The sequence below is a fragment of the Homo sapiens genome, chromosome 8, assembly GCF_000001405.40.
Source record: "Homo sapiens chromosome 8, GRCh38.p14 Primary Assembly".
Taxonomy (NCBI): Eukaryota; Metazoa; Chordata; class Mammalia; order Primates; family Hominidae; genus Homo; species Homo sapiens.
Window position 1 is genome coordinate 143,457,353 of NC_000008.11, and position 16,894 is coordinate 143,474,246.

General features: G+C 57.8%; 1 protein-coding gene across 2 annotated transcripts in view, besides 9 other annotated features; it reads right to left on the minus strand.

Annotated features, from left to right (window-relative positions):
• Window positions 1-16,894, minus strand: part of ZC3H3 (zinc finger CCCH-type containing 3) — a 103,789-nt gene that overhangs the window by 19,694 nt on the left and 67,201 nt on the right. For both annotated transcript variants that reach the window (NM_015117.3, XM_011516943.3), the window contains exons 6-9: window positions 11,265-11,307; window positions 11,030-11,188; window positions 10,857-10,926; window positions 8,365-8,496 (exon numbers count right to left, since the gene is read on the minus strand). In NM_015117.3, coding sequence (NP_055932.2) covers window positions 8,365-8,496; window positions 10,857-10,926; window positions 11,030-11,188; window positions 11,265-11,307 — 404 coding nt within the window. The remainder of the gene's footprint in view (window positions 1-8,364; window positions 8,497-10,856; window positions 10,927-11,029; window positions 11,189-11,264; window positions 11,308-16,894) is intronic.
• Window positions 4,531-4,640: an enhancer, noted in NCBI's record as "active region_28072". NCBI's record gives its function as "activates an Ori minimal core promoter by ATAC-STARR-seq in GM12878 lymphoblastoid cells {active_cell/tissue: GM12878}" and the evidence as "EXISTENCE:reporter gene assay evidence [ECO:0000049][PMID:35858748]".
• Window positions 4,531-5,317: a biological region, named in NCBI's record as "H3K4me1 hESC enhancer GRCh37_chr8:144544126-144544839".
• Window positions 4,604-5,317: an enhancer, noted in NCBI's record as "H3K4me1 hESC enhancer chr8:144544126-144544839 (GRCh37/hg19 assembly coordinates)". NCBI's record gives its function as "activates a minimal SCP1, AML or CMV promoter by ChIP-STARR-seq in primed H9 embryonic stem cells {active_cell/tissue: H9 hESC(primed)}" and the evidence as "EXISTENCE:reporter gene assay evidence [ECO:0000049][PMID:30033119]".
• Window positions 5,001-5,070: an enhancer, noted in NCBI's record as "active region_28073". NCBI's record gives its function as "activates an Ori minimal core promoter by ATAC-STARR-seq in GM12878 lymphoblastoid cells {active_cell/tissue: GM12878}" and the evidence as "EXISTENCE:reporter gene assay evidence [ECO:0000049][PMID:35858748]".
• Window positions 5,091-5,260: an enhancer, noted in NCBI's record as "active region_28074". NCBI's record gives its function as "activates an Ori minimal core promoter by ATAC-STARR-seq in GM12878 lymphoblastoid cells {active_cell/tissue: GM12878}" and the evidence as "EXISTENCE:reporter gene assay evidence [ECO:0000049][PMID:35858748]".
• Window positions 5,318-6,030: an enhancer, noted in NCBI's record as "H3K4me1 hESC enhancer chr8:144544840-144545552 (GRCh37/hg19 assembly coordinates)". NCBI's record gives its function as "activates a minimal SCP1, AML or CMV promoter by ChIP-STARR-seq in primed H9 embryonic stem cells {active_cell/tissue: H9 hESC(primed)}" and the evidence as "EXISTENCE:reporter gene assay evidence [ECO:0000049][PMID:30033119]".
• Window positions 8,162-9,070: an enhancer, noted in NCBI's record as "H3K27ac-H3K4me1 hESC enhancer chr8:144547684-144548592 (GRCh37/hg19 assembly coordinates)". NCBI's record gives its function as "activates a minimal SCP1, AML or CMV promoter by ChIP-STARR-seq in naive H9 embryonic stem cells {active_cell/tissue: H9 hESC(naive)}" and the evidence as "EXISTENCE:reporter gene assay evidence [ECO:0000049][PMID:30033119]".
• Window positions 10,886-11,792: an enhancer, noted in NCBI's record as "H3K27ac-H3K4me1 hESC enhancer chr8:144550408-144551314 (GRCh37/hg19 assembly coordinates)". NCBI's record gives its function as "activates a minimal SCP1, AML or CMV promoter by ChIP-STARR-seq in primed H9 embryonic stem cells {active_cell/tissue: H9 hESC(primed)}" and the evidence as "EXISTENCE:reporter gene assay evidence [ECO:0000049][PMID:30033119]".
• Window positions 13,225-13,926: an enhancer, noted in NCBI's record as "H3K27ac-H3K4me1 hESC enhancer chr8:144552747-144553448 (GRCh37/hg19 assembly coordinates)". NCBI's record gives its function as "activates a minimal SCP1, AML or CMV promoter by ChIP-STARR-seq in naive and primed H9 embryonic stem cells {active_cell/tissue: H9 hESC(naive and primed)}" and the evidence as "EXISTENCE:reporter gene assay evidence [ECO:0000049][PMID:30033119]".

Below are 16,894 nucleotides of genomic sequence, written 5' to 3' on the forward strand. Positions count from 1 at the left end.
TCTTCAGATCATATGACTCTTATGCCTTTTACTAAATAATCCATAGGGCAAAGAGAAAATCTCAAGGGAAGTAAAACAAACAAAAAAAAATCACAGGAGCTGGGCTTGGTGGCTCATACCTATAATCTCAGCACTTTGGGAGGCTGAGGCGGATGGACTCTTAAGCTCAGGAGTTTGAGACCAACCTGGGCAACATAGCGAGACCTCATCCCTATAAAAAAATACAAAAATTAGCCAGGTGTGGTAGCAGGGACCTGTAGTCTCAGCTACTTGGGAGGCTGAGGTGGGAAGCCTGCTTGAGGCCAGGAGTTTGAGACCAGCCTGGGTGACAGAACAAGACCCTGTCTTACAGAAAATTTAAAAAATTAATCAGGTATGGTGATATGCACCTATAGTCCCACCTACTCAGGACGCTGAGGCAGGAGGATTGCTTGAGCCCAGGAGGTTGAGGCTGTAGTGAGCTATGATTGCACCACTGCACTCCAGCCTGGGTGAGAGTGAGACCCTATCTCAGAAAAAAGGGAAAATATTCAAATTATTCAAATCAATAATCTAAGCTCCCATTTCAAGAATGTAGAGGAAAAAAAACAGCAAAATAAACCACAAGTAAGCAGAAAGAAAGAAATAATAAGAGCAGACAGCCCAATGAAATCGAAAACAGAAAACCAAAAGAGAAAAATCAGTAAAACAAAGAATGGGTACTTTGAAAAGATCAATAAATTGACAAACCTCTAGTAAAACAGACAATGAAAAAAAGAAGTCACAAACTTCCAGTAACAGAAATGAAATTTCCAGTATCACTGCAGATTCTGCAGACATCAAAAGGACAATTATTAAATACTTCAAACAATTATACACACATAAAATTGACCACTTAGATGAAATGGACCAGTTCCTAGAGATACACAATCCACCAAAACTGACTGAAGAGTAGAAAATCTAACTAGATCTACACAGCGAGGAGACTGAGTCAGTAATCAAAAATCTCCCAACAAAGAAAAGCCCAGGACACAGCTGGGTGCAGTGGCTCACGCCTATAACTCCAGCATTTAGGGAGGCAGAGGTGGGAGGATCACTTGAGCCCAGGACACAGCTGGGCGCAGTGGCTCACGCCTGTAACCCCAGTATTTAGGGAGGCAGAGGTGGGAGGATCACTTGAGCCCAGGATACAGCTGGGTGCAGTGGCTCACGCCTGTAACCCCAGCATTTAGGGAGGCAGAGGTGGGAGGATCACTTGAGCCCAGGACACAGCTGGGCGCAGTGGCTCACGCCTGTAACCCCAGCATTTAGGGAGGCAGAGGTGGGAGGATCACTTGAGCCCAGGACACAGCTGGGCGCAGTGGCTCACGCCTGTAACCCCAGCATTTAGGGAGGCAGAGGTGGGAGGATCACTTGAGCCCAGGACACAGCTGGGCGCAGCGGCTCACGCCTGTAACCCCAGCATTTAGGGAGGCAGAGGTGGGAGGATCACTTGAGCCCAGGACACAGCTGGGCGCAGTGGCTCATGCCTGTAACCCCAGCATTTAGGGAGGCAGAGGTGGGAGGATCACTTGAGCCCAGGAGTTCGAGACTTGCCTGGGCAATATAGCGAGACCTTGTTCTTCAAGAAAAAAAAAAAGAAAAAGAAAGAAAGAAAAGAAAAAAGACAGAAAAGCACAGGACCAGACGGCTTCACTGGTGAATTCTACTAAAACATTTAAAAGAAGAATCAACACCAATTCTTCTCAAACTCTTACAAAATGTTTAAGAGAAGGAAACATTTCCTAATTCACTCTGTGAGGCCAGTAGTACCCCGATAACAAAACCAGACAAAGACACTAAAAGAAAACTACCAACCAATATATTTTATGAATATTGATGCAAAAATCCTCAGCATAACATTCAGCAACACATTAAAAGGATTACACATCAAGGGCCAGGTGCAATGGCTCACGCCTATAATCCCAGCACTTTGGGAGGCCAAGGCGGGCTGATCACCTGAGGTCAGGAGTTTGAGACTAGCCTCACCAACATGGCGAAACCCGCGTCTCTACTAAAACTACAAAAATTAGCTGGGCCTGGCAGCGCGTGCCTGAAATCCCAGCTACTCATGAGGCTGAGGCAGGAGAATTGCTCCAACCTGGGAGGCGGAGTTTACAGTGAGCTGAGATCGTACCAGTGCACTCCAGCCTGGGCAACAAGAGCAAAACTCTATTTCAAAAACAAACCAAAAAAAGGATTACACATCATAACCAATTACTCCCAGATGCAAGGATGGTTTCATACACAAAAATCAATTAATGAGATTGTGACTGACTGTGATTCAATGTGGTCAGAGTCATGAGCTGACCACCTTAATAGAATAAAGGAAAAAGACCACAAGATCATTTCAATTGATCTACAAAAAGGCCTGACAAAATTCAACACCATTTCATGTTTAAAAAAAACCAAAAACCTAATAAATAGGATAGAAGGCAACTTCCTCAGTGTGGTAAACTCTATACATAAAAGCCCATAGCTTACGTCATATTCAATGGTGAAAAATGAAAGCTTTTCTTCTAAGATGAGGAAAAAGACAAGGATGCCCACAGTTGCCATTTTAATTCAATATAGTATTAAAAGTTCTAGCCAGAGGCCGGGCGTGGTGGCTCACACCTATAATCCCAGCACTTTGGGAGGCCAAGGCAGGCGGATCATCTGAGGTCACGAGTTTGAGACCAGCCTGGCCCCATGGTGTGACCCTGTCTCTACTAAAAACACAAAAATTAGCTGGGTTTGGTGGCACATGCACCTGTAGTCCCAGCTACTTGGGAGGCTGAGGCAGGAGAATCACTCGAACCCGGGAGGCGGAAGTTGCAGTGAGCCGAGATCATGCCATTGCACTCCAGCCTGGGCGACAGAGTGAGACTATGTCTCAAAAATAAATAAATAAATAAATAAATAAATAAATAAATAAATAAAAGGCATCCCAATTGAAAAGGAAGAAGTAAAATTATCTGTTTGCTGATGACATGATCTTATATGTAAGAAAACCCTAAAGAATCCACACACAAAAAAAGTTAGAATAAAGAAATTCAACCACAACAAGTGGTGGGGAGGGTGTGGAGAAACGGGAACCCGTGCGCCGTTGCTGGGAACGTAAAGTGGTTCAGCCACAACAGAAAACACTTGCCGATTCCTCAGAAAGCTAAACACAGAATTACTCAGACTCCAGCAATTCCACTCCTCAATATACACCCAAAGGAAGTGAAAGCGGGGCTCAAACAGATACCTGGCTGTCAGGAATCACTACAGCACCAGTCACAGTAGCCACATAACCACCAGCACACGAAGGAACTAACAAAACGCAGTGCACACACAACGGAATGTTACTCTACCATAAGAAAGGAATGAGGTGCTGCTACACGTGTGAACCCTGGAAACATTATGCCGGGTGAAAGATGCCAGACACCAAAGGACAGATGCTGGATGATTCCACTGACGGGACACAGCTAGACCCTGGAAACATTACGCTGCGTGAAAGACGCCAGACACCAAAGGACAGAATGTACGATTCCACTTAGAGGACATAGCTAGAGGAGGCGCCTTCACTAACTAGTTAGGTGTCTAACTAGGGTTTGGGAAGCGGGGAGTGGAGAGTCATTGCTGAATACTCAGTGTTTCTGTCAGGAGTGAGGAAAACATTTTGGAATGTTTCCACGGTGTTGTGAATGTAGTTAGCTATTGAACTAAGTGCCATTTTGACGCTTAAAAATGGTCAAAATTTATGTTATATATATTTTACCACAATTAAAAAGTAACACAGTATATACCAAAAACTATTGAATTGTACACTAAAATGGGTGAATTATGTGGTACGTGAATCATATCTCAACAAAGCTGTTTTTCAAAAAAAGATAGGAATGGCCCATAAGCACCCAGGTGCTCTGCGCATCCAGGCCATCAGGGAAATGCAAACCAAAACCCCAGGGATACGGCACGCCACGCCCACCAGAACGGGTGTGCCAGAAAGGCAGATACCCAGAGCTAGCGAGGAAGTAAGCAAGACGAAAGCCTTGCTCGCTGCCGGCAGGAGTGTCAAACAGTGAAGCCGTTTTAGAAAACAGGAGGCTGTTAACCTAGAGTGACCCTGTAGCCCTGCAGTGACCCTATGGCCCTGCAATTCCACTCCTAGGTGTCTACCCAAGAGAAGCAAAAGCATCGGCCACACAAAGGCTGGAGCGCGGACATTCGAGGCAGTATTATTCACGACAGCCCCCAACTGGCAACCACCCGAACGGACAAAGAAAGTGTGGAGAGCCTCTGCAGCGGCTTGACTCTGTAATAAAAACGGGTGCAGCGCTGAGGTGCTGCAGGACAGACCTCCAAACATGATGCAAAATCAAAGATGCCAAACAACCATGTACTGTATGATTCCAGCAACACGAAAGGCCCACAGAAGAAACTTACCGAGACAGAAGTGGATGAGTGTTAGGGGCCGGGACTGATGATGAAAAGAGTGAGGGAATTCTGGGGGGCGATGAAAACAACTGAAAGCTGCGCTGTGGTGCAGCTGTACCACTCTAAGTTTACTCAAACCCACAGAACCATACACCTAGAGCAGAGGAATTGTGTGGGAGGGAAACTGTACTTCAGTTAAGCTGCTTTTTTTTTTTTTTTAAAGCTGACACCACAGATCAAAGGGTTAGATCACCGTTGAGGGAAAGCACCCACGACATGAAGAAAAACTAAGTGAGGCCCCACCTCACACAACACGCAAATGAAGAACAGCAAACGGCAGCCGACTTGTAGGGAGGCCTCCCTGTGCCAGGGCCACCCAGGACACTGCCAGGCCCACTGTGGCCCCCTGAAGAGTCGCCACGACCCTCTGAGATAGGCAGTGCCGTTATCCCGACTGTATATAAAAGGAGACTGAGGCCAGAGGAGGAAGTAACCGTGCAGGGACAAGCGACACCCACAGCTGCCTCTTGAGCCAGCATCAGGCAATGCAGGAGGCACTCTGTGACCATGGGTGGAGACTGGTCCTAAACAAGACCCCGAGCACAAATCACAGGGCAAAGGATGTCAGGACCTTGCCTCATAAAGGACGAAGGATTCGGCCTAACAAAGGGCAGCACTGGCGAAAGCAAGGCACCAACAGAGAAGCGCTGTATGTGAACAAAACCAAGACAGGCGCTGTCCAGAGGACACAGGAGCCCTTGCAAGCCTGGAGGATGAAGGCAGGGTGTGCGTGAGGGGAATCCCAGGTGACTCAGGTCTCAGCTCGCACTTGGGGAGCTGAAACCCAAGGCTCAGCCAGGGCCTTCCCTCTCCCGACAGCTCCCTGCAGACAGGCACCAACCACACACAGGGTGTGGGGAAAACGGCAGCGCGGAGGCTCACGGAGCAGGCACTGCAGATGCAGGAGGGCCAAGGTGTGCAGGAGCTCTCAATGCAGAGGTGGGGATGGAGTCACTGTCACCCCTGCACACGTGCACACGATGCTCCCCAGCCCTGTGCACTGGGGGCGCTGGCAGCAGCCAACACCCTAGCTGCAACAAGCACACGCAGCGCCCAGACCCTGAGTCCTAAACACACCCAGAAGGAACCAGGGCGCCCTGCAGGAGCAGCTGTCCCACCTAGAGCCACCAGGAGCAGCGCCCAGACCCTGAGTCTCTTTTTTTTTTTTTGAGACAGAGTCTCACTCTTGTCACGTAGGCTGGAGTGCAGTGGCGCAATCTCAGCTCACCACAACCTCCACCTCCCGGGTTCCAGCAATTCTCCTGCCTCAGCCTCCCGAGTAGCTGGGATTACAGGCATTTGCCGCCACAACCGGCTAACTTTTCGTATTTTTAGTAGAGATGGGGTTTCACCATGTTGGCCAAGCTGGTTTTGAACTCCTGACCTCAGGTGATCCACCTGCCTCGGCCTCCCAAAGTGTTGGGATTACAGGTGTGAGCCACCGCGCCCGGCCCAGACCCTGAGTCTTAAACACACCCATAAGGAGCCAGGAGCGGCTGTCCCAGAGCCGCCGGGTGCTGGGAGCATCTGGGTGCCAGAAAGCAAGCAAGGGTGCAGAAACTGTCAGGCACATCATAAGGGCAGGAGCCCTGGCAGGGCAGCATATTAAAAGGGGACGGCAATGGACACAGCCGGACACACCCGTGGACAAACAGGCGAGCGGTGAGCACGGAGGAGGGAAAACTCTTCCGTTCAAGGACGCCGGCCGCGGATCAGAATTTGACAGCAGACAGACACAGCTGGCTATTAAGACTAAGGGGAGAAGGTGGAGTTTTCTAGTCTCAGAGTCTCCCCCCAGCAAGACGTATCAGCCGGGGAGATCCCTTTGACAAGGATGGAGCGAGCGCCTGAGGCAAGGGAGGAAAACAGCGCTGCACCAGGACAGGGACGCCTACTGGGGAGGACTCTGCGTCTCCGGGTCTGGGCAGGACGTGGCAGACCCCGCAGGTGTGTACAAACAGGCAGTCTGAAGTCATCCCCGTCCTGATATCTAGGAGGGCAGGCGGCATCTGGCAGAGGTTGACCCCTGAGCCACAGCCGTGGCCCCCCAAAAGGGGAAGGAGCGGAGATTTACTCCCAGCCTAAATTATTCACAAGGAAAGGGAATGTGGCTCTTTAACAAGCCATCGCTTTATGAAGCAAGGTTAACAATTTCACTTGATTCAGTGGAATATTATAAACTCTCTGGGGCCCATTTGAGGACTTCTACTTCAGGCGCAAGGTGACGATTCAGCACTTTTCACATTATTTAGAGAATAAAATTAACCCTCGCAGGCCCGGGCTGCCGCCTGTCCCCGCTGGATCTGGCCGGCTCAGCGCTTTCCCATATATAATTACAAGCTGCTATCCATCATGCGGGCGCCGCGGCGCGGACACACGGAAAGGCAGCAGTAAGCACTTCCACTAATAGAAGCAGGACCTAAATATCACTTTGATATTTTCATTTAAATCGAAACATTTTACAATAATCAGCCATGGCCTCCATGGGGATCCTGCCACTGCCCCCACAGGGTCTGGGGCTGCCCCAGCCAGGCCCTACCTCCCCGGAGGGGATTGCCTGCCAGGTTTCAGGTTGGGGAGCCCGGCCTGGCCAACCCTTGGCCCGGCAGCAGGGGCTGCAGGCTGACTCCTCCTGGGAAGTGGGTGTGAGGACTGAGGATGAGGGAGAGGATGCTTGGGAAGGGCCCGGCCCACCACAGAACGCTGTGCACAGGAAGGAGTGCGTGGCCCAGCTTCTACAGGACCCCACAGGTGAACCCAGCAAGGGAGGGGCAGGAGAGCCGCCAGAGCTTCGGGCCCGGTGTCCTTGCGGGTGGGCTGAGAAAGGGTTCCTGGGGTGCCTGGTGTTCTCGGCTTCACGGGGGCTGCAGACCCTGAGGCAGCGCCAACACAAGTGTGAGGTCCAGGTGGCAGTGAGCCGTGCTGCAGGCCCCGGGGCTCCCTCCCAAGATGCCAGGGACAAGGAGCATCTCCAGGTCCCCCAGCTCTGGCCCCTCCCCAGCCTGAGCCAGGAGGCCCCCAGCCTCAGCCACAAGCCTTAGGCCAGGTGCAGGAGCCCCCAGGGCGGGGAGAGAAACAGGCGTGAGAGGCTGGGGTAGAGGGGGCTTGTACCCGGGACCAGGCCCACTGGAGATGCTGAGGCCACGCTGCTTGTGGCGGGGAGTCCTGCTGAAGCCCAGGAGGGCAGGTGAGGCAGAGGGGAGGAGCTGGCTGCACTGCCGGGAACTTCCCAGACAGGTGAGCCTGTGAGTGCCTCTGCAACACAGGAGTCAGTCATGCCCCTAGGAAGAGGGGAGCCGCAGCCATCAGCTACAGCCCAGGTCCCCAATTCTCCACCCAGCAGTGGTGCCCCGCAATGAGCTCCAGCGCCAGCTCACTCCACCCTTGCCAGCCACGGCTCAGGCGGCCCCCTTGGCTCTGCCTGGCCCACCCCTCTGCCCCAGGCTGGGTGGGAGTGTCCCGTCCACCCCCTGCCTTCCTGGGGAGGCTGCTGGCCCCACATCCTGCAGCCCTGCGGGCTCCCTGGCCTCCAATATCCCCTTCACTGCACTGCCGCCCCCAGCAACATCCCAGGAGCTGCTCCGGCCCAGTCACCACACCCCTACCATGGGGGGCCAGCTCCTGGGGCTACCAGTGCTGCACCTGGAAGTCTAGGTCCTCTGCGCCTCACCTTCCCATGGTTCAAACCCCGCCCTGTGTTGGTGCTGTGCAACCCCGGGAAAGTTGCTGGACCTCTCTGAGTCACCTGTGAGGTGGACGTGATGGCACTGACCACCTCAGGGCTGCAGATGGGTCATCCAGCCACCACGGCAGGTACCCAGGAGTGAGCAGAGGACCAACAAGCCACAGGAACCCCGCCCACTCGGGCCCCCACAGACCACTCACCTTTGCACCCAGGGGGCAGTAGCCTTTGAGGAAGTCGCTGCAGACCTCGGCCTTGCGGGACACGTACACGTGGCTATAGGGACAGTTGCTGTTGCTGCAGATGCCCTTCAGGAAGTAGGAGCACACCGGCATCTGCAGGGAGGGCCGGCAGTGAGGGCCAGCAGGCAGCCACCCTCCAGGGCCCAGAGACGGTGGCTGGGGACCCTCCTACGGCCCCGCCCGAGAGAGAAATGGACACGCGGCACCAGCAGGCAGGAAGGGCAGCCACCACGACCTGCGGGGCAGGGAAGCTGCTGCTCAGAAGTGGGCCCCAGCCTCCCCAGGTGAGCCACACCCCTGCCGTGCTCTGTCCAGAGGAGGCATGGAGCAGCCCTGTAGCCCTGTGGCTCAGCCTCAGGGGCGCCCTCCTCTGAGTCCCTCACCTGTTCTGAGCCTGCCCACCGTCCAGGGCAAGATGGCAGCCAGGGCTCCCAACCACTAGCCTGTGGCCAGGGCTGCCCTTGGAGCCTCTCAGGCCATGGGGACCAGTGTCTAGGTGGGAGGACGAGCCACGGGCCAGCAGCCAACAGAGGGCTCTCCCTCTCCAGGCACCTGACCCGTGGGCCACAGGCAGTGTCCCTGGGCTCTAGGTGGGCAGGAGCCACCTGGAAGCAGGGCTGGTGTGGCACTGGCTGCAGGCCAGCACCGTGGAGGCCAAGGCTGTCAGCAGGAAGGGTCCAGCAGCGTCTTCCTCCCCAGCACAGGGCCGCTGGCCACAGTCAGTGCTTGTTATCACCACTGGGCTGGGAGAGGGAAAAAATGTAACTTTCCTCCCATTTGGGGGAACCTCAGGCCTAAGGAGCAATGGCTGGGCTAGGGCCACCCAGGGAGGGAAGCAGGGGGTCTCTTGCCATCTCCAGGAGACATCTCCCTGCCCCTCATGGGCCACCACGGGCTCTTCCTGGGCTGCCTGGGTGTCCAGAACAAGGATGTCACCGTCCAGCCTCAGCATGGAGCCCCCACAGAGCCCCTGCCAGCACCCCAGGGTCTCCAGTCTTGCCCCAGGCTATTCCCGCTCCCCTCCCAGGGCCTTCCTCCCTCCTGGGTCAGACCACCCTCCCTGCTCCCACTACCCTTGTCCCCCTCCCCTTCCCAGCCTGCTCAGAGCTGCTGGGGCCTGAGGAGCCCTGGGGGATCTGGGCAGACCCAGAGGCTTTAAAAAGTCACTTTTCTGGGGCAAGGTTGGGGATGGGAAAGGAACTTGTCTAAGGCCAAGGAGGGAAGAAGGGGTCCAGAGAGCCAGCGGCCAGGGCTGAGAGGGAGGGAGGGAGAAGGCAAAGAAACAAAGGGTGATTTAACGAGCGGGAGTTTATTTCTAATTGTCTTTTAACTGCAGCCGCAGAGGGGAGAGGGGCTGGGGGCCGTTTGGGGCTGGCGGTGGTGGGCTGTAGACAATTCCCTTAATGTGGTTTTTGATATAGAGCCCAAATTAGCTCTAATAAAAAGGGATGATAAAGCCAACTCTACAGCAAACGGAGCTCCTCTTGGCTGTCAGAGCGGGGCTGTTATCAAGAGGAAACTGCATTCTCATTTCAATTAACCTTGTTTGCACCCCGCCACGTCCACACAAATAACAATAACATTAATTCAGGGCACTGGTGCGGGGCGTCCACATTAGACAGCTTGGAATGTGCTCTGGCTTTGGAGCTGGGAGCTAATGAACCCGAAACTCGATGTGAATTTCCAAATTGCTCACAACAGAGTTCCGAAGCTCTATTAGGGAGAAAAATGCTGATTCTTTTCAAGTTCCTCAAGGGGAAAAGCTGTTGCGGCAGCAGCACCCCTGCCCAACACCGCCTCCCTCACCCAAGGCAGCCCTCACTCCACTCGCATGCTGTGGTCACACCGTGGCTGAGTCCGGGGCACAGGAGCTACACATGTCCCCCCCAGCCCCAGGGCTCTCTTGCTGCTTCCCAGCAGGGGACCCACCTTGGCTCAAAGCAAGTCTGTTGGGTTTCAGGCCGCGGGGACAACCACATGAGCCAGGAGTCCAGCTGTTCTCCCTCCAGCCCCTCCCTCCCGCCCTCTGCCCAGGCAGCCTCTCCACCCAGCCCCCTCACATACAGCTTCCCCCCTCCTGCCAACCCCAGTCTGAAGAGGCCCTGAGGCCTCAGCCCTGGGTCCACAGGGGCACCTGTGGGACCACCTTCCCCTAGGCATGTGTAAGGGGGGCCTGGGGATCTGGTGAGGCCTGGTGCTGCCAGGAGAAGGGAAAAGAGACCCCTGTGCGTGGTGAGCAGAGACCCTATCAGCGCTGCTTTCCGGGGAAGAGGAAGCCCAGCTGCAAAGCCTGCAATGGGGTAGAGACGGTACAGCAGACTCTAAGGACGCCAGGGCAGGGATCTGCATGTCCCAAACCCAGAGAAAGCTGTGGGCACCATCTGCCCGGAGGCCAGGTGGCTGAGGCCCCGGAGAAAGGTGCACGGGAGCAGGGCCACCAGCGCCGCACTCACCTTCTCCTTGGACACATGGTGGGAGAAGGGGCAGGTCCCATCCGTTTTCTTGCAGGTGCCCCGGACAAACCTGCAGCACCAGGAGAAACGGGTATGAGGAAGGGCCGGCAGGGACCAAGGGCAGGGCCCTGCACAGAACCTCCCCCAGGCCCACAGCGAGGGCAGGAGGGCACCTGGTGCACACGGCCACCTTCTCGGGATCGTGGATGTAGGGGCAGCGCTCGCCACGGTTGCACCTGCCGAAGCGGTTGTAGTACATGCAGTACTCCTTCCTCTTCTCCCTGCGCTGCCGCGCCTGCCGGATGATGGCCAGGCTGCGCTGCACTGCCCGGCTGCAGACGGGGAGAGAGGTGCGTGAGCCTGAGGGCGAGCAGGGAGCCCACCCACTGCCCAGCCCAAAGGCATTACCTGGCCAGGGAACGGCTACAGCTGCCTGCAGGATCCAGCCGGCCTGTGGGGGAGAGAGGCACGGGTCATAGCAGGCCACAGCCTGGCCCGCACGCCCTTTCCCTGCTGACCCCCTTAGTCGAGGCCCTCAGGGGTCCCAACACTCAGCTCAGGCACAGCCTCCCCTCCAGGAAACTGCCCAGAGCTCCCCTCCCCACAGTGGTTCAGATGCCCTGGGCCCTGCCAGGCCCCTCTGGGGACACAGCACCTGAGAGTGGGGAGCTGCTGGGCCCTGTGTCTAGCTCCTCTCCAGGGCAGGGTCCGGGCAGGGCTCCTGTCCCTGCCCTCAGAGCCAGCAAAGCCAGGCAGCACCCGCGGAGGGCTTGGCCACGTGGGCTGGAGACGCCCGCCTGTCCCTGCTGCCTCCCTGGCCAGGCTCCCCAGGGCCACGCTTTGCTGGCTGGAACCCCCCTGCTGGCTTCCTCATGTCCCTGGGTGCCCACCCTGGGCCAAGGCAGTGACTGGCCTATGGACACTGCTCCTGGCTCTCTCCTCAGCCCTGGCCACCCAGGAAGCTGCCCTGTAAACAGAACAGCTGCTAACAGCAGCACCTCCCTCTGCCAGGGCCTGGGCTGGCAGGACCCGCGGGGTCACTTAGACCAGGGGGTGAATATGGCCCATGGGGCACACATGGTCTGGCCTTTTGGGAGCAAGAATGGCTTCTGACTTTTAGAGGGCTATAAAACTAAAGACATGCAGCAGAGAAGGTGTGGGGGCAAAGCCCGCTTGGCGGAGGCATCTGCCCAGCTGCCCACTGCAGCTGTGGAGGTCTGGGGGAAGGGCACCTGTCCCTGAAGCCCTGGGCTGGCGCTGGCAGATCCTGGCTAGTGTCTGTTACTCTAAATTTTAGAGGTGCCTCATCAGATGCTCCTCAAAACCCCAAGCATAAGCACCACCCCCGCCTTTCTGAAACCGCACACCACGGCCTGGGAGGGCGGCCTGGGAGTGCGGTGGTGGCAGGAAGGAAATGGACCTTGGGGCTGGACATGGCCGAGTGCTGCCAGGCCTGAGAGCCAAGGGGATGAGGCGGGGAGGGGGTGCCATCTGGAGGAGGAGGGTCTGCTCCGGTGACACAGCCCTGCCTGCCTTTTACAGACAGAGGTCACCCAGGATCACGGGGTGGGCAGGGCAGGACCAGCCTGCTGAGGGCGGCTTTCCCGGGTTCCTCAAATACGCGCATGATCCTTCCCAGACCAGATCCAATTTCCTACAGGGCAAATGCTGAAATGGACACTGCAGTTAAGAGGCAGAGGTGACATCACTCAGAAATTCTGGGGACCTGAGGTGGTGACAAAGCCATCCTGGTTTAAAAAGGGATGTCCCAAAGCCGCCCAGCCCCAAATAGCCAGACCTGCCCCACTCTTGAGCACCAGAGAGCAGCCTCGTCCTCACTCTCCCAGATGGCCCAGCAGCCGCAGACTCCCACCCGAGGACCCAAGGCTTCCGCTCCCTCGCACCCCCAGGCTGGAGCCCCCCCCACTCCTCGCTTTGTGCTTTGCGTCCAGCCCAGTGCTCCCTAGCTAGGGTCAGTGGTGCTGCTGCCCTTCACCCTCAGGGGCCCTGCCTACTGTCCCCACTCAGCCCGTCTCAAGTTTCAAAAGGGCAGCTCCAGAGCTGAGTGGCCAGCGAGCCCGGCTGGGGCAGGAGCAGGAGCTAGTCATGGTACCTGGGGCAGGAAAGGGGGCGTTGAAGAACGCAGAAACCTGAGGCGTGTGGGGGGCCAGGGGCAAAGGGAGGGTGATGAGGGTCTTGGTGCGGAGGGACCAACGCGGGGGTGCTCAGGGCAGCCCCCGTTCTCAGGCCGGGACCCTTGTCCCCGGGTGGGCAGCAGGGCCCAGTCCAGACGGCACGGGCACGCCCTCACACCTGCCAGCCTGTGGGGTGAGGGACGCGGCAATGCGGCGGTCTGTCGGCACTGCTGGTTCCCAGTCTCTCGCCCAGGCTGCCAGTGACACTGCGACGCCATCTGCTCCAGGCAGGGACACACTGGCATCACGTGCCCGCCTGGCAGGACCGGGTGCAGCAGGAGGGGTTACCTCCCTTTCCACTTTGTGCTCTTTAAAAAAATGCCAGTGTGAGGCTCACGGCAGGAGTTCTGACAAGAACAGGAGGCACTTTTTCAAATGCTTTGCAGTGTTAAAAAATGCACATAAAATAGCTGGCTGGAAAAGAAGCAAGGGCTGCCTGAGAAGTGCTAAAAAGTTCAACTGAATAACCCCCAGCAGCTCCACAGCAGAAGGCGCCATGCATTCCAGAGAACTTTCACTTCCCCGGGATCTTCTCAGAATAGACTCGGCTCCCACCAGCCCCACCCCCTGCTCGGTGCCCCAGTGCCAGCTCTGGGCACCGCTGGATGTCAGGCTCTGCAAGGCAAGCGGGGTGGGGGCCTTGCAGTCAGAGGTTCCTCAGCACCTCCAGGCCCTGCTCCGGCCAGCACCCACTGGACAGCTGCTGCCTGGCCCAAGGGACAACATCCACGATGACCGGGGCACGCAGGCAGCCCCAATTCCCAGGCCAGCACTCTCCCAAGAAGTTAGGCAGGGCTGCGCCAAGCCCTGGTCTGCTCACAGCGCGCCCACCAGGCCCTCCAGGGCACGTCCGTCTGGCACATGGAGGCTGTGCCCTTGGGAGAAGGCAGCCAGCGGCAGAGGGTGCCCCAGAAGAGGCAGTGTGGGGCGGGGGCAAGCCGACAGGGCCTTCGTCACCCCAGGGAGGGTGGGCAGGTGACCAGCAGGGGAGGCGCAGAGGCCGGACGTGCCAGGAACACGCAGCAGCTGGCCCACAGCAGGGAGGGCCACGGCCACAGGTGGCTGGGGGCTTTGGGGACACAGAACAAGCCAAGGCCAGCCCTGTGGCCAGAGACTGGGGCCTCTGCCCCACCACAGGAGCCATCAGGCTCATGGTGGCCACATATGGGCCATGCTCACTGGGGGCCCACACAGGATTCTGTGGGGAGGGACCCTGGAGCTCAGGCCTTCAGGTGGCAGGCGGGCCCAGGAGGGAGGGCTCGGCTTCAGGGACTGGGGAAGCTGGGGGTAGAAGCCATACTGTCCTCTGCCGTCAGGGGCCCAGAGCCCAGGGGGTCAGCCAGGACAGCCACCCCCACCCCTTCCAAGAAGGCTGCTGCACTTTCTTGTTGAAGTCAAATTTCTGCTGACACCAGGGGAGGAAATTTATTTCTTTAATTATTATTCCTCTTAAGTGGGCTGGTCAGCGGTATCCCACAGCTGGGAGCCATCTACCTTCCTCATGGCGAGGCGGGGCCGGTGGTGGCCCAGGCAGCTGGAGCTGTGGCCTCGCCTGTCGACCCAAAGGGCGAGTGCGGCCTCACTGGGCTCTGCACAGCCCCAGGACTGCCACAGTCGCCACCAAGGCTGGCCAGCGGGACACCGGAGGCCATAGCCCTACTCGATGGCAGGCGGGCCTCCCCAGGGGCAGGGGTGGGAGCAAGGAGGCCCCTGGACCCCTGCCTGCCCTGGCTGGCACCAGCCTCTGTGCGCCAGACCCTCCTTGCTGGCGTTGCTGAGGCTGAATGAAGGAGTTCTGGGTTGCTGCTGGTGCAGGGGTGAGACATGCCCCAGAAGGGCTGGGGGAACCAGACTGGCTCTCTGATGGCTCTGGGCCAAGGGAAGGGCCAACGGAGGCAGAGGCCAGTCAGCAAGGGTGGCCGGGATAGACTGTTCACAGTGTGGTGACGTCAGGGGCTCTGCGCCCGCCAGGGCTCTGCCATGTGTGTAAATGGCAAGGCGAGATTCTGCGGAGCTCAGCACTTGGCACCGACGGGGAGACACAGCAGCACCACAGCCTCCCAGGGAGGAGTGTGCAGCCCCTCCCTCTCCTCCCCACTGCTGAGCGGGCCAGGGCTATGCACTCCCTCCTCCCCAAAGCTCAGACCCTGGGCCATCCGGGTGGTGGGCACCGTGTCTGAGGGGGCCAAGTGCAAACCTGCTGCCTGCCACAGGCGTCTCTGTGGACACTGAGGGATGGGAGAGCTGGGATGGCAGGTGCACCTCCCCACACAGGCCCACCCAGCCCAACAAACGTGGGCCACAGGATCCCGGCGAGGGCTGAGACGACCCAAGGGCCCCGGTGCGGGGAGACGGACCCATGCCACAAGCCCCTCCGTGGGTCCCGCGGGTGCACGGTGCAGGGAGAATCCCAAGGACGCACCGCGACCTGGGTGAACAGGCGGGGCCAGCCTTGGCCCTGTGCAGGGAGTGGGATGCAGCTGCTGCAGTGGGGGCCACTCCCTGAGTGGGTGGGTCCTCCCTGGGATGGGCTCTGGCTCTGGAAAGGGCAGTAGGCATCCCCTCCCTGGCTCCAGCTTCCGCAGAGCAGGGCAGGGCCTGCAGACTGACTGCCAGGAGCAGCCTCTGCTGCCTATCCTGGCCGCCTGGGGCTCTCGCGTACGTCAGGACATCATGGTCTCCATGGCTGCTGTCTTGGCCACTTAATTATCAACCTCAGTCAGTACTACTATCGTGACTACCGGGAGCTTTCTGAATGTGGGTGCAGTGGTGCCAGGTAGACCCCGCCTGCCCCCAACCCATCTCCTCCCCCTGCTGGCTGTGCACAGGGTCCTGCGATGCCTCACGCCCCCTCCCACTCCTGCCCAGGCCTCTGCATGGCGGCCTCAGGATGCTCTTGCTGCTTCTGTCCCTTCTGGGCCCTCTCAGTTTTCAGCTCATGAGAAAGGCCTCCCTGACCACCTGACTGGACACGAGTCTGCGTATTTACACCTGTGGGCCCCAGGAATCTTCACTGGTGTTCAGCCCACGCCTCTCCCTGCACTAGGGACGTCAGAGGCAGCATCCATGGGAGATGCAGGGCACCCTCCCACCCAGGCAGGCAGGTGAGGGCTCGGGGTGCCCTTCCCTGGGCAGAGGGATCAGCCTGGCTGCTCTGCCCACTGCCTCTAGGACCAGAGAGGAAAGCCAGTGCCAGGACTGTGCCTGCAGTGTCAGTGCACTCAGGACAGTGCCAGCCAACGTGGGGCTTGGCCTCTGCCAAGGAGGCCCAGGGGAAGGTGGGACCACCCGGCATGAGCAGAGAGGCACCTCATGGCTTTGTCCCTGGGGGTCAAGCACGATGTCCTCAGAGCACCTGCTGCTGGCCCCGGGAGCTCCACTGGTCAGGGTCCCTGTTGGCTCACATGGCTGGTGGCTGGTGGACGGCCACAGGCGCCTGGGACCTGCTGTGCCAGAGACTGGCCAGGGGCTTATACTTCACTCAGGGAAATGACTGCTGGAGAGAAGCCCGAGGCCCCTCCCCTCCACGATACAAACAGCTGTGTGTAGCCCCACAGGCCACCAAGCTCCAGAGTCCGAGGATCAGAGGTAACCAGAGAAGGCCCTGCTGGGTGACAGGAAGGCCTATCCCCCAACCCACGGCAGCATCCCCCAGGGGCAAAGCCTCACCAAGGCCCCCATGTTCTGAGCCAGCTCCTGCACTGAGCACCCGGGGTGTAGCAGAGATGAGACCACACGCACAAATCACACAGCCCAGTCCCTCAAGGTACGGGTGGGGAAGCGGAGGCACACACAGGGGTGACACAGTGCCCAGGAAGGGACCCAGGGCTTCTCACCAGATCC